This window comes from Homo sapiens, chromosome 16 (genome assembly GCF_000001405.40).
Source record: "Homo sapiens chromosome 16, GRCh38.p14 Primary Assembly".
NCBI lineage: Eukaryota > Metazoa > Chordata > Mammalia > Primates > Hominidae > Homo > Homo sapiens.
In genome coordinates this window covers 1,244,204-1,259,119 of record NC_000016.10, presented here as the reverse complement: position 1 = coordinate 1,259,119, position 14,916 = coordinate 1,244,204, and the positions used below count along the sequence as shown (strand labels likewise).

General features: G+C 57.9%; 1 protein-coding gene across 1 annotated transcript, besides 1 other annotated feature; it reads right to left on the bottom strand.

Moving 5' to 3' along the window:
* Positions 1 to 111: 111 nt before the first annotated feature.
* TPSD1 (tryptase delta 1) lies at positions 112 to 3,051 on the bottom strand. Its single transcript, NM_012217.3, has 5 exons — positions 2,758 to 3,051; positions 2,433 to 2,604; positions 2,058 to 2,323; positions 898 to 1,061; positions 112 to 788 (listed from the first exon to the last, which is right to left on the bottom strand). Exons 1-5 carry the CDS (start codon positions 2,837 to 2,839, stop codon positions 744 to 746), a joined length of 729 nt encoding a protein of 242 aa, NP_036349.1. The 5' UTR covers positions 2,840 to 3,051; the 3' UTR covers positions 112 to 743.
* Positions 9,429 to 9,960: an enhancer, noted in NCBI's record as "H3K27ac-H3K4me1 hESC enhancer chr16:1299161-1299692 (GRCh37/hg19 assembly coordinates)". NCBI's record gives its function as "activates a minimal SCP1, AML or CMV promoter by ChIP-STARR-seq in naive H9 embryonic stem cells {active_cell/tissue: H9 hESC(naive)}" and the evidence as "EXISTENCE:reporter gene assay evidence [ECO:0000049][PMID:30033119]".

Sequence of the window (14,916 nt, the reverse complement as noted above, 5' to 3'; positions counted from 1 at the left end):
AGTTGTGCCTCGGGGTCCAGGACCCCGCAGCTCCTGCAGCTGCCCCGAGACATGCCTAGACCCTTCCTCCCCCGTGACACCCACGACCAGAAACACAGTGACGGCCACACCTGCTTTCCATCATGCACTTTAATGAGAGTCAGCACTAGAGAGGATGGGCGTCCACCACCAGCTGCCTGGGCAGGGGAGGGCCGGAGGGGCCGGGAGGGGCGGATTCAGGGTTGGGGAGGAGGCTCAGGATGGAGGAGGGGGCAGGATGGAGGAGGGGGCTCAGGATGGAGGAGGGGCTCAAGAAAGGGGAGGGGGCTCAGGATGGAGGAGGGACTCAAGAAAGGGGAGGGGGCTCAGGATGGAGGAGGGACTCAAGAAAGGGGAGGGGGCTCAGGGTGGGGGAGGGGGCTCAAGAAAGGGGAAGGGGCTCAGGGTGGGGGAGGGGCTCAGGATGGGGGAGGGGATCAAGAAAGGGGAGGGGGCTCAGGACAGGGGACAGGGCTCAGGATGGGAGAGGGGACTCAGGATGGGGGAAGGTGTGGGGGGCAGTCACCACCTGGGTAGGAAGCAGTGGTGGTTTGGACAGGAGGGGCTGGCCCTCCAGTGACCCGGGTGGACACCCCAGGCCTGGCTCAGGGCTTCTTGGGGACATAGTGGTGGATCCAGTCCAAGTAGTAGGTGACACGGGTGTAGATGCCAGGCCGGTTGGGCTGGGCACAGCTCTCCTCCCAGCTGACCACGCCCGCCTGCAGTTAGGTGCCATTCACCTTGCAGACCAGGGGCCCTCCAGAGTCACCCTGGGAAGGTCAGAGGTCAGTGCTCGCTGGCCAGGCTTCGGGGGTCAGGATGAGGGATGCGCTCGCTGGCCAGGCTCCGGGGATTGGGGTGGGGGACGCGAGGGCCCACCTGGCAGGAGTCGTGATTTTCGCTCCCCGCACACAGCATGTCATCGCGGACGATTTGAAAGCTGTGGCCCGTATGGAGGCCGGTGTGATATTCCGCGTTGCAAAGGTGGTTTTCCACTACGGGGACTTCCACCTCCTTCAGCGGGTATGGCGGCGGCAGGTGCACTGGGGGCGGAGGGGGGCGTGGAGCCGGGTCTGGGGCCGGCTGGGTGCTGCTTCGTGGACTTGGTGGCAGAGTCACGGGCAGGGGAGATGGCACCATGGGCCCAGTGCTGTTCTGTGCCTGCAGCCCCGGGGAAGGGGCGGTGAATGCAGTCCAGGCCCCTCCGCTGAGGCTGGTCCTGGGTCCCTGGCCTCATTTAAGCCCCATCTGGGGAAGGGAGGGGAGGGCCCTGGAGGTTGCCAAGCTGGGCTCCATGGCACGGGGGTGCAGAGCCCGACCCGTGTCTCCCCCTGGGCTCAGCTGACTTTCGTCTGGGCTAGGCCCATGGTCCACGGTTGGCCCTAGCCGAGGGGAACACAGGGCGCTGGGCTCAGCTTCCCCGCTGTGTGGGGCGGAATAGCGGGACAGTGGCTCAGGCCCCTTCTGAGTGACCCAGAGGTCACAGCCCAGGGTTGCCGCTCAGGCTGTACCCCAAAGCTTTGCTCTGAATTGTGGATAAAATGGGGACAAGACCTTCTAGAAGTGAAAATGTGCCTCGTGGAGGGCCACAGTGAGCTTCGTCCAGCCCCCCACAGCACTGCCACGACCCCGATTCCCAGGCCCCTGCCTTGTCTGTAGCACAGGGATGGAGGGCAGGCAGGTCTCATCCCAGCACCGGTCTCTCTCCTTCCAGCAAGACCCCCGTGTGATTTCTCTCTCCACATAGCAAGTCCGTGACGTACAAACTTTTGATGCACCCTTTCAGGCAAGGGGAAACCGAGGCACGGAGGTGCTAAGGGACTCTCCAAACCCCTGGGGTGGGGGACGCCCAGGCCCTTTGGACTCACCGTCTCTGCTCAGGGCACCTGCTGCCTCTCGCCACCGCCTGCTCCATCCATCCTGGCCTCCACAGTCCCCCTCCCTGAGCCGCCCTGAGGGACCCTGTCACCCCACGGACTGGCCTGTGGCTGTGACTTGGTGCCCACCTGGCCCGGCCTCCCGCTGTCCCCAACACCCACCATTATTGTCCACGTCGCCCCAGCCAGTGACCCAGCACGGCATCCCCGGGGGGAAGGTCTCCGAGGCAGGGGGCAGCGTGACCGTGTGGATGTGGCTGGAGATGTTCACGGGCTCCTCCAGCTCCAGCAGGGCGATGTCCGCCCCGGTCTGGATGATGTAGAACTGTGGGTGCACGATGATCCTGCTGACCGGCAGCAGCTGGTCCTGGTAGTAGAGGTGCTGCTCCCGCAGTTGCACCCTGAGGGCGGCCAGATCCTTGATGTCCCTGGGCAGCGGAGGATCCCACTCAGGGCCCTGGGCAGCCCCCAGGAGCACCCGGGAGCCAGGGCTCACATCCAGCCCTTGCCCACCCCTCCAGGCCCCAGGAGACTCACGGTTCCACGCAGTGCGCCGCGGTTAGCACCCACTGGGGGTGGATGAGGGAGCCCCCGCAGAAGTGCATCCAGTATGGGCCGCGGACTCTCAGGCTCACCTGCCAGGGCCACTTGCTCCTGGGGGCCTCCTGCCCCCCAACAATGCCCGTTTGCTGCAGGGCCTGGCCTGGGGCTGGGGCAGGTGCCAGGTCAGGACCAAGAAGCCGCCCCACGCCTGGGACCAGCCCTTCCCTGTGTGGGGGCCAGCCCGGCCTCCCCAGAACCCACCCAGGCCCTGATCTGTGGAATGTGGTGAGGGGCAGGGTGGACCCCGGCTGGGACTCACCAGGGGCCACGTAGGCCGGGCTCGCCAGGACGGGCAGCGCCAGCAGCAGCAGGCTCAGCATCTGGGGAGCAAGGAGGAGCATCGTGGGCCTGGCCGGGCCTCACAGGGCAGGGCTGGGGGCTACAGATTGTGGGGTGAAGAATGGAGCTGGGACGGGGGGACCGGGGTGGGTCCAGGCCTGCGGGCCTGGGTCTTGGTGCTCTGAGTCTGAGGCTGGGCCACTCTGCTCCAGGTGACGCTGATGTCAGGGTCTCTGAGAGTAGGGACTTACCCTGGCCACTCCCTGTTCCTTCTACCCAGCGGGCTCTCCCCTCCCCATTTATGCTTCCAGATCAGGAGGGGGCGGAGGAGGGGCGCTGGGTCCTCCCATCCAGACTCGGAGGAAGTGGATGACTCAGACCCAGGGCCCCCGTGTAACACATGCCCCCGCCACCCCGATGCCCTCTGTGTGTGGGGCTGCCAGGCAGGCCCCGCCGAGGGCTGAGCACTGGAGGCTCGCAGCTCCACCTGTCAGCTGGTGGATCCCAGCACTGGAACCCACCACCTTCCCGCTGGTGGGATCTGCTCCTGCCCCTGTCTCGGTGCCAGGAGGCCTTCAGGCATAGCTGCACCCAGGTGGCCTGGCTGCCCCAGGCTACAAGACCCGTCGCTCCTGAAACCTGTTTCCCCAAGAGGGACACGGGGTGAGGAACTCATGTCCATGGGCCACCCTCCAAGAGACGGGAAGGTGCCCACGGGGTGGGGACATGACGGGTGACACCCCTCCTACGGACTCCGAATCCACGGGGGTGGGGCCAGCCCTCCTCGACTCACTTGGTTGGGGGCTCACATGAGACCCCTTTGTCAGATGGGGAAACAGCCTTGAGAGGGGACAGCACCAAGTGTCCTCAGCCAGGAAGGGGCCCTGCTCCCCACCTCCCGTATGAGACCCAAGTCCTCCAACGATTCCTCAATGTCCACCTCTGGGGCTGTCCGTGCAGGTCCCCTGGTCTGCAGGTGCCTTCTTATCATGGGATCTGAGCTTCATCCGCAGAGGGAAGGGCAGACAGGAGTGCAGGTGCAACCCCAGGAGACCCAGCCCAGCTCCCCATGGACTCACCCCCAGCCCCAGCCCAGCTCCCCATGGACTCACCCACAGCCCCAGCCCAGCTCCCCATGGACTAGTCCCAGCCCCAGCCCCAGCTCCCCATGGAGTAGTCCCAGCCCCAGCCCCAGCTCCCCATGGACTCACCCACAGCCCCAGTCCAGCTCCCCATGGACTCACCCCCAGCCCCAGCCCAGCTCCCCATGGACTCACCCCCAGCCCCAGCCCAGCTCCCCATGAACTAGTCCCAGCCCCAGCCCAGCTCCCCATGGACTAGTCCCAGCCCCAGCCCAGCTCCCCATGGTCTCACCCCCAGCCCCAGCCCAGCTCCCCATGGACTAGTCCCAGCCCCCGGCCCCAGCTCCCCATGGACTCACCCCCAGCCCCAGCCCAGCTCCCCTTGGTCTCACCCCCGGCCCCAGCTCCCTGTGCTCTCCATCCCATTCAGCGCTGACACTGTCCCTGCAGCTCCGTCCACCCCACCTCCTGACTCACCTGGGCCTGTTGGTCACTGGGGCCTCCAGCCCACCTCCTCTGCTTCTGAGCCCCAGGACCCCCTGCCTGCCCCCCGACCCCCAACACAGGGCCACTCCGGGGCTCCTCCTGCCCCCACCCTGCCTGGGACCAGCCTGGTTTGAGGCTGACTCTGCACTGCGGGGCCATATCCATCTGGACTCCTTCCGGGCTGCACCCCCCGGGGGACAGGCAGGGGTGGCCCAGACCGCTCCTGCTCATGACCCTGCTTCTCCTCCATTCTCTGGACAAACTCCCCAGAGGCCTCCACCTGCCCCGTCCTGGTTCCATGAATGAGGCCCACAAGATGGGACCTTCAGGAGCCCAGGAGGTGAGGGGATGGGGTGACGGGGGACACCAGGGATGAGGGTGTGGCAGGGACACGGGAGACACCAGGGCTGACGGTGAAGAAGAGACTCAGGGGACACCAGGGCTGGGAGAACCCAGGGACACACGGGGACACCGGGGCTGTGGTGTGCAGAGGGCTCTGGGACCCCCGAGTCAGGGGCTCTGGGGCCGCTCCTCCTAGGAATGCTCCGATTGGGTCAGGCCTGGGAGGCGGACCAATCAGCACCATGGGGATGCGAGAGCCTTGATTGGCTAACACTGGGCCAATCAGGGCGCGTCCTGGGCACCCCGCCCCGATCCCCGGCCGCTCCCCTGGGGCTGCTGCAGGGCTGGGGTCCCAGGCCATTGACAGACACTGGGCAAGAGGCCACGTGGGGCAGTGTCCCCGAGAGAAGGGTGGGGAGTCGGGTGAGACGACAGTGGCCGCGCCCAGACTCAGGGCAGCGATGGGAAACTCAGCCCCAGGAGCTTGCTGGGCTGGGGAGACGCACCTGGCGCGTGCAGAGGCCCCGGCAGCCATGACTCACGAGGCGGAGAACTGCACGGAGAGCTCCGGGCATCCGCAGGGGGTTCCCCCCGGCGTCCTCGGCCGAGTGCCGGAGATGCAGAGAGACGTGGGAGCCGCGTCGGAAACGAGAACCACCAGATGAGAGGGGCGGAGTCCGGGAGTGCGCGCGGGGCTGGGGATATCGCGTGTTCCCAGCAGCTGAGTGGAGAAACCTTGTCAGAGGCAGGCACTGGAGAGTCCTCGGAAGGGTATGGAAGGGTACGAGGGGAGAAAGTAATCCCGAAACCAAAGGCTTCTCCGGACCCACCCTCACAAAGCTGAAAAGCAAAGCGCAGACGGATCCAAATGATTGCAAGTGACTTAACTGCCTGTGAGAACACATCTCAAAACGATGTCAAGGAATAGAACACAACCCAGCACGCAACAAAACACTCCAGAGAGTACTCACGAGATCCGGGGGCTAGTCAAGAACGAGCGGGTGGCCGGGCACGGTGGCTCACGCCTGTCATCCCAGCACTTTGGGAGGCCGAGGTGGCAGATCGTGAGGTCAGGAGAACGAGACCAGCCTGGCCCACATGGTGAAACCCCGTCTCTACTAAAAATATAAAAATTAGCCGGGCGTGGTGGCACGTGCCTGTAATCCCAGCTACTCGGGAGGCTGAGGCAGGAGAATCGCTTGAACCAGGGAGTCAGAGGATGCAGTGAGCCGAGATCGTGCCACTGCACTCCAGTCTGGTGACAGAGCAATACCGTGTCTTAAAAAAAAAAAAAAAAGCAGGCATGAAAAAGGATGACCTCCCAATAAAAAAAATCAATCATGTTCGGGCGTGGTGGTTCACGCCTGTAATCCTAGCACTTTGGGAGGCCGAGGCGGCTGGATCACCTGAGGTCAGGAGTTCAAGACCAGCCTGGCCAACGTGATGAAACCCCATCTCTACTAAAAATACAAAAATTAGCTGGGCGCGGTGGCTCACGCCTGTAATCCCAGCACTTCGGGAGGCCAAGGCGGGTGGATCACCTGAGGTCAGGAGTTCGAGACCCCCCTGGCTAACACAGTGAAACCCTGTCTCTACTAAAAATACAAAAAATTAGCCGGGCGTGGTGGCGGGCACCTGTAGTCCCAGCTACTCGGGAGGCTGAGGCAGGAGAATGGCGTGAACCCGGGAGGCGGAGCTTGCAGTGATCCGAGATGGCGCCACTGCACTCCAGCCTGGGCAATGAAGGAGACTCCGTCTCAAAAAAAAAAAAAAAAAGAAATGTGAAAGGAAGTTCTGCAGGAAGAAGATGATAAGAGATGAACATCTAGACCTAGACTAAGGGAAGATAAGCTCTGGAAATGGAAACAGCTGTGACTGTGTAAGACAGTTTTCTCTCTCAAAAAATATTTGAAAGAGAATTGGCAGTTTGAAGCAACAACAGCAAAGCGAGTGCAGGTATCGTGTGGTTTATGGAATACACAAGGGTGCGGCGTGTGCTACAGTAACAGAAGGATCCGGGGAGACTAAAAGCAGGCTGTTGCAAGTTGAAATTGCACGTGAAGTTGTGGTGTTTTGGAATTAATGCACTTTATTTTTTAGAGCAGTTTTAAGTTTACAGACAACTGGGCAGATAGTACAGATCGTATCCCCCCACACACACATCCCCACACACAGAGTTTCCTGTTATGAACATTTTGCATTACTGTGGGTGCATTGTTACAGCTGATGAACAATATTGATACATTATTACTAACGAACTCCCACAGTTTACATGAGGGTTCACTCTGTCTGTTGTACATTCTGTGGGTCGTGGCAAGTGCACAAGTCATGTGTCCACCATTACCGTATTATGCGGAATACATCCCCTGCCCTCAAAATCTCGTGCTCCACTGCCTCTCCCTCTCCCCATCCCCTGGAAACCACGGATATTTTCATTGTCTCTGAAGTTTTGACTTATCCACTATCAACGATACACTATTAACTTTTTCCGACTAGCTTCTTTCACTGAGTAGTAGGCAGTTATGGCCCCTGTATGTCTTTTCAAGGCTTGATAGCTCCTTGCTTTTATTTATTTATTTATTTATTTATTTATTTATTTATTTATTTTGAGACGGAGTCTCGCTCTGTCTCCTAGGCTGGAGTGCAGTGGTGTGATCTCGGCTCACTGCAAGCTGCGCCTCCCGGGTTCACGCCATTCTCCTGCCTCAGCCTCCGAGTAGCTGGGACTACAGGCACCTGCCACCATGCCCAGCTGTTTTTTTTTTTTTTTTTTTTTAGAGATGGGTTTTCACTGTGTTAGCCAGGATGGTCTCAATCTCCTGACCACATGGTCCGCCCGCCTCAGCCTCCCAAAGTGCTGGGATTACCGGCATGAGACACCGCACCCGGCCAGCTCATTGCTTTTTGTCTCTGAATGATATTCCATTGTCTGGATGTACCACAGTTGTTCTACCCATTCGCCTTTTGAAGGACACTTTGGTTCCTTCAACTTTTTGGCAATTATGGGTAAAGATGCTATCAACATCATGTGCAGGTTTTTGTGTGGGCATAAGTTTTCAACTCCTTGGGTAAGTAAATACCTAGAAGCACAATTGCTAGATCATATAGTAAGAGTATGTTTAGCTTTGTAAGAAACTGCCAAACTGTCTTCCAAAGTGGCTGCGCCATTCTGCCTTCTCATCAGCAGTGGATGAGAGTTCCCGTTGCTCCACCTCCTTGTCAGCACTTGGTATTGTCTGTCTTGGGGACTTTAGTCATCCTAACGGGTGTGTAGTGGTATCTCATTGTTATTTTAATTTAATTAATAACGTTTGATGCTGAGCATCTTTTCAGGTGCTTATTTGACATCTCTGTATCTTCTTTGGTGAAGTGTCTGTTCAGATCTTTTGCCCACTTTTTTTTTCTTTTTAATTCTTTCAATCTCTTTGTTAGATTTATCTGATGCCCACTTTTTAATTGTGTTGCTTGTTTTCTTTTTCCTTTTTCTTTTTTTTTTTTTTTTGAGACGGAGTCTCACTCCGTCACCAGGCTGGAGAGCAGTGGCGTGAGCTTGGCTCACCACAACCTCCGACTCCCTGGTTCAGGTGATTCTCTTGCCTCAGCCTCCCAAGTAGCTGGGATAACAGGCGTGTGTCACCACACCCAGCTAATTTTTATATTTTTAGTAGAGACGGGGTTTCACCATGTGGGCCAGGATGGTCTCGATCTCCTGACCTCGTGATCCTCCCACCCTGGCCTCCCACAGTGCTGGGACGACAGGTGTGAGCCACCACACCCGGCCAGGTTGCTTGTGCTGGGATGACAGGTGTGACTCCCTGCCCGGCCGGGTTGCTTGTTCTCTTTAATGTTGACTTTAAGGGTTCTTGGTATATTTTGGATAATCATCCTTTATCAGATATGAGTTTTGCAGAGATATTCTCCCAGTCTGTGGCTTGTCTTTTCATTCTCTTAACAATGTCTCTTGTAAAGCAGAGTTTTAAAAAAAATTTTTTTTGAGATGGGGTCTTGCTCTGTTGCCCAGGCTGGAATGCAGGGGTGCAATCCTAGCTCGCTGAAGCTTCAACCTCCCAGGCTCAAGCGATCCTCCCACCTCAGCCTCCCGAGTAGCCACCGGTCTGTCCGGTTTGGGGGCAGTGCTTTGTCCCGTGAGCTCGGTTCTCAGAAGGCTGTTCAGCTGCGTTTCAGTTGGCCCAGCGTTTCCGATGTGGTTGTGAGGTTGGCTTCCAGTCCCTTCGTATGTCCGAGTGGGAACTGAATGTATAGATATATTTTTTTATTGAGAGCAAATTAAATAAACAGAATGCACAGACCTGAAATGTCCAGTCCAATGAATTGTGATGATTGCCAAACCTGTGTAACCATGGCCCAAAGCAAGACGTATCACCCTAGGGTGTCTACTCCCCGCCCCTTCAGGCAGGTGACCGAGAGGTGAGGAAACCTCTAGGGTGATGAAAATGGCCCGTGCTCCTGTCTCTCCACCTACGTAGGGCTTTGAAATCTCCTCCCAGCAATGTTTGTACTTTTTGGTGTAGAGATCTTGCATGCCTTCCCTTAAATGTATTCCTGGTGTTTGATTTTTTTATTCTGTAGCAAAGGGTATGGATGTTCGCGTTTATCGTCCAATATTCATGGCTGGCGTTTAGAAACACAGTAATCCTTTTGCATATTGGTTTTGTATGTCACAGCCCTGCTAAGTCCATTACTCCAGGGTCCATTATTCCTGGATTTTCTACGCAGCGATCACCGACTTTTCTCTCCCTCCGGAGCGCTGCACTTCCCCGCGTCTCCAGCAGAGGGGGCCCCTGACCATGCAAAGCGGAGCCCGGGCGCGGCCGAGGCAGGCGCTGGGAGGAAGGCGGGGCGTTTGCGGGAGGGCGGGGCGGGGGCGGGGAGGGGGCAGGGCAGGTGCGGGGAGGGGCGAGGAAGGGGCGGAGAGGAGTCAGCTGCCCCGCCCAGCCCACCTGCCCGCTGGGTCGGGTCTCAGAGCCCTGGAGCTTCCAGGGCTGGGATAGGCCTTGCGTGTGACCGTAGCAGGTCACGGCGCCCTCTCTGCCTCAGTTTCCCCACGGGGAGAAGAGGCTGCACTGGGGTGCGAGCCGGGGCTGTGCAGGCCTGGAGCGGGGTCTGCCTCCAGGCCTAGGCTGTGGCCATCGCCCTCCACCCCTCTGGGAGGAGGGAGCTGGAGGGGCTCATGCAGGTCAGGGGCCAAGGGTCAGAGGTCGGGGGAGGAAGAGCCACTGCGGCTGGCCCAGAGGTCACTTAGCCACCAGATGCAGGAGACAGCCAAGAGGAGGACGAGTTGGAGGAGGAGGAAGAAGTCCCCCGGGAGGGGGCCTGGGGAGCCGCCTGAGCCCCCGATGCTGGGATGCGGCGGTGGGGCCGGCTCACCCAGGCAGAGAGGAGGGTGTAGACCCCTGGCCAGCGCCCGCAGCTGTAGCTCTTGACCCAGCTCATGACGCCAACCTGCCCTCAGGAACCATGCGCCTGGCAGACCAGAGGCCCTCCCGAGTCACCCTGAGGGCAGAGAAGGCAAGGACTAGGAGGTGGGGGGTCCCGTTTCTGGGCTCCGGCACCCCCACGCTCCGTGGCCAGCCTGGCTCATCAGGTTGCTCTCGTCGGGGAACCGCAGAGTGAAGCCGCAGGGAGAACCCACTTCACACCCACCGAAACGGCCAGAAGCTTTTTAAACAGTCAAGCTCTGCTCACATCTCCACCCCACCCCTTCCCTTTCCCTCCAATAGATTCTGTCCTAAAGCCTAGCATGGGGCAGGTCCCAGGGTGGACCTGGGGCGCCACAGCCACACTGGCCCAGAGTGGGGGGCACACGGGGGATTGATGAGATCAGTGAATTGGGGGTGGAACCAGCTCCCCGCTGCTGGAGAAGGCAGCCCGATGGGAGAAGAGAAACGCAGAGTAAGCCCTGTGGGGTGGAATCACAGCTGAGGCACTGTGAGAGCTCATGGTTTTCATTATAGATATGGCCGTGTAGATGTGCACGTGGGAGTGTGTGTGTGTCAGTGTGTGAGTGTGCCTGTGTGAGTGTGCATGTGTGTGTGTGAATGTGTGCATGTGTTCGTGTGTGCATGTGAACATCCGTGTGTGCATATGTGCATGTGAGTGCACAGATGTGCGTGTGTGTGCATGTGTGTGTGCATGTGTGTGTGTGAATGTGTGCATGTGTACATCCGTGTGTGCATATGTGCATGTGAGTGCACAGATGTGCGTGTGTGTGCATGTGTGTGTGCATCAGGTATATGCATGTGTGCATATGTGTGCGTGTGTGCACACACATGTGTACATGTGTGAGTGTGCATGTGTGTCCGTGTGTGCATGTGAACATTCGTGTGTGTGCATGTGCATGTATATGTGAGTGTGTGTGCATGTGAGTGCATTGTGAGTGTGCATGGATCAAGTGTGTACAGGTGTGTGCATGTGTGAGTGTGCATCTGTGTGCACGTGTGAGTGCATGGATCAAGTGTGTGCATGCATGTGCATGTGTGTGAGTGCACGGATCAAGTGTGTGCATGCGTGTGCTCTGTCCCCTGAGGAGGGCTGTGAGCAGTAACACCCAAGAGCGATGGGCAATCCCTTCACCTAGATCGTGGTCTCTAAATACCGTTTGCTATCGATAGGAGCTGGGCCTCCTGGAGGACTGCCTGGCGCAGAGGCGGATATGAGAGGAGCCCAGAAGAATCTTGTAGGAGGAAAAGTTCAGAGACGGAGACATGTCAGATGACACAGAAGCCAGCTCGCAGGAGCTCCCAGTGTCCGCATCAGAGCGAGTTTGCACATTATAAAATGATTGGGAAAAAGAAAGAAATTAAAATAACTGAATAAAACAGGGGACCATGAGTCTATACAGTTATAAATAAGCAAATGAATACATAGTCTGATGAGAACTTGGCTAGTTACAGGGTGTCAAGGAATCTCCCCACAAAACACGCAGTCATCACTAAGGGGAAGGAGTGGCTTCCCGGGGAGAAGCCGGGCAGATGCCCCTTGCTCAAGAGATGAGAGTGGATGTCCCAGCAACTGGAGAAGTCGGTCGTGCACGCCCTTGACAGGAGGCGGACCTCAGAGCCGGGCCTGTGATGCTCCTGCCAAACGGGTATCCCCTCAATCTAATCGTGAAAAAATATCAGCCCGGCTTGAGGAGCGCTCCACAAAACGATGGCCCGAAATCTTCAAGGGTCTCAGGGTCAGAGGAGCTGAGGAAAGACCGAGGACCCGTTCCAGAGCCCAGCGTGCCTCCTGATCCTAGGCAGGACATTTTCCATCCAAGGACATTTTTGGGAGAGCTGATGGACTTGGATTTGGCGATTGAGAATTACATGTCAGTAGGATGCCCACAGCTACTTCAGGGCTGACTGGCTATACGGCAGAGCTACGGGATAACCCCCTCTCCCTTCCTTCCTTCCTTCCTTCCTTCCTTCCTTCCTTCCTTCCTTCCTTCCTTTCTCTTTCTCTCCTTCCTTCCTTCCTTCTTTCTTTCCCTCCCTCCTTCCTTCTTTCCTTCCTTCCTTCCTTTTTTTTTTTTTGACAGGGTCTTACTCACTGCAGCCTTGGCTGTGAGTCAAGGGCTCACTGTAGCCTTGGCCCCCTGGGCTCAAGCAATCCTCTCGCCCAAGAGGTTGAAGCTGCAGTGAGCCGAGATTGCGCCACTGCACTCCAGCCTGGGTGACAGAGTGAGACCCTGTCTCTTAGAAAAATAAAAATAAAATCTTACTGGATTATGGCTGGGCACAGTGGCCGATGCCTGTAATCTCAGCACTTTGGGAGGCTGAGGCGGGTGGGTCACCTGAGGTCAGGAGTTCAAGACCAGCCTGGCCAACGTGGTGAGACCGCATCTCTATAAAAAATACAAAAATTAGCTGGGTGTGTTGGCTCATGCCTCTACTCCCAGCTACTTGGGGGACTGAGGCAGGGGGATTGCTTGAGTCCAGAAGGTGGAGGTTGCAGTGAGCCGAGATCACTCCACTGCCCTCTAGCCTGGGCAACAGAGTGAGACCCTGTCTCTAAACAAATAAATAAAATGTTACTGGATTATAACCAAAGTATAAGATAAATATCCATGAGCCGGCCGGCGTCACACCTGTAATCCCAGCACTTTGTAGGCTGAGGCAGGCGGATCATTTGAGGTCAGGAGTTCGAGACCAACCTGGCCAACAGGGTGAAACCCTATCTCTATTAAAAATACAAAAATTAGCCGGGCATGGTCGCAGGCACCTGTAATCCCAGTTACTCAGGAAGCTGAGACAGGAGAATCGCTTGAACCCGGGAGGCAGAGGTTGCAGTGAGCTGAGATGGTGCCACTGTACTCCAGCCTCAACAATGTGAGACTCTGTCTCAAAAAATAAATAAAATAAGATAGAGAAAAAAATCCATGAGTCAATGCTGATATAAATAAATAGTTGAATAAGTAAATAAGTGGGGAGAAGAGACAAATCTCCACGCAGAATTCAAAATAATGTCACAGCCCTCCCCTCTCATGGAGGCAGGGCACAGTGGAACCCCCAACCCCCACCTGGCTGTTCAGGGGAACTTCCTTCCAAACACTGAAGCACTGAGGCCAGCAGGGAGGGGCTGCACGGTGAGGAACCAGCTACGCCTGAGGCAGGGGTAAATCAGGTTGATGGCTGGCGACCCCACCTCCACGGGCACTGTGGTACTGAGGCTGGCAGGGAGGGGCTGCACGGTGAGGAACCAGCTACGCCTGAGCTGGGGGTAAATCAGGTTGACGGCTCGCGACGCCATGCAACCCCACGCGACCCCACCACACGGGCGGGAAGGCACTTTACCTCCGTGCCCTTCCTTTTAAAACCCACGGCCTCAGGCCAAGCATGAGAACAACGTCAGACAAATCCCCATTGATTGGCACTCTACAAAATCGCTGACCAACCCTCCTCAACATGGTCAAAAGCAAGGGAAGCCAGAGAAACGGTCACAGCCAAGAGGAGCCGGAGGAGACAGGAGGATCCGGGGTGAGGTCCTGGGACAGGAACGGGAGGTTAAGGAGAGTAAGGAAACCCAAGTAAGCTCCGGGCTTCAGTTAATGTAACGAATCCTGCTGGTTCGTCCGTTATGGCCAATGAGCCTTTCCTGAGGAAGAATGGGAAGCGGGCCCGGGGCATGCGGGTAGCTCTGTTATACTATCTTCGAAACTTTTCCATAAATCTAAACCTGTCCTAAAATAATAAGTGTATTTTAAATAAAAAGACACAGAAATACTTCCAGGCCCAGCAGCCCTTTGGAGACAGCTCAGGCCCTCGTGACAACCACCCTTTGAGAAGTCCCTGTCCCCACATCCGGCAGCAGGTCCTGTGGTCGCGCGGCAGATCAGATGGGCACCGCTTCACGGCCCAGCCTGGGTTGGCCCTTCCTAACCGTCCTGGCTGCCCCAGCCTGATGACTCAGCTGATTAGGGGCCCTGGGCAGCGCCCAGGACTTTCCTGCCGCCCTCCCCAGATCCAAATCACAGGCCAGGCTGGAGGGTCCGGCTGAGACCCTCTAGGTCAGGGATCCCTCTTTGATGTGGGGAAACTGAGGCACTGGTGGGGGGGAGTTGCCTGACCACCCACCAGGATGTGGCCTCCCGGGCACAGACGTGGCTGTCTGCACGCCAGCACGTGGGGTAGCCAAGGCTCAGAACTGGAGGTTCAGTGTTTTTCCTGGTGACCAATAAGGACAACACCAGCATGCGGGGCCAGCAGTGCACCCACGGCCGGACACCCTCCTCCCTCACGGCAGCCGCACACCTGGAGGGGGCGCCTCAGGGGAGGCAGGACAGTCCCACCCCACATAAGGGAGCGAGGTCTGAGTCACAAGTCTCCGGCCCAGGGTGCCCCTCACAGGGCGATGTCACCAGTGGGGAGGGAGCCTGAGGGGCAGGGTCTTCATGGAACCAGGTCCTCTAGTCCTGACCTCTAGGGCTGTCCCCAGGTCCCCACAGGCGGGGACTTCAGGGCCCTCACCTGTCCCAACTCAATTCACCTGCAGCACTGGGGACCCCGTCTTTCTGCCTGTGCCCCAGCACGCCACTCCCCGCAGAGTGCTCCACACGACCCAGATTGCAGGCCTGCTGGGGAGGAAGAAGCTCCAGGCACCATCCCCTGAGCCCCAGCAGTCCTGTGACATGGTGCCGTTCCCCCCCACCATTGGACAGGAGAGCCAACTGAGGAACCGGGAGGGGGGCCTGGCCCTGGTGATTGCCCCCAGCTTGGTGGGGTCTC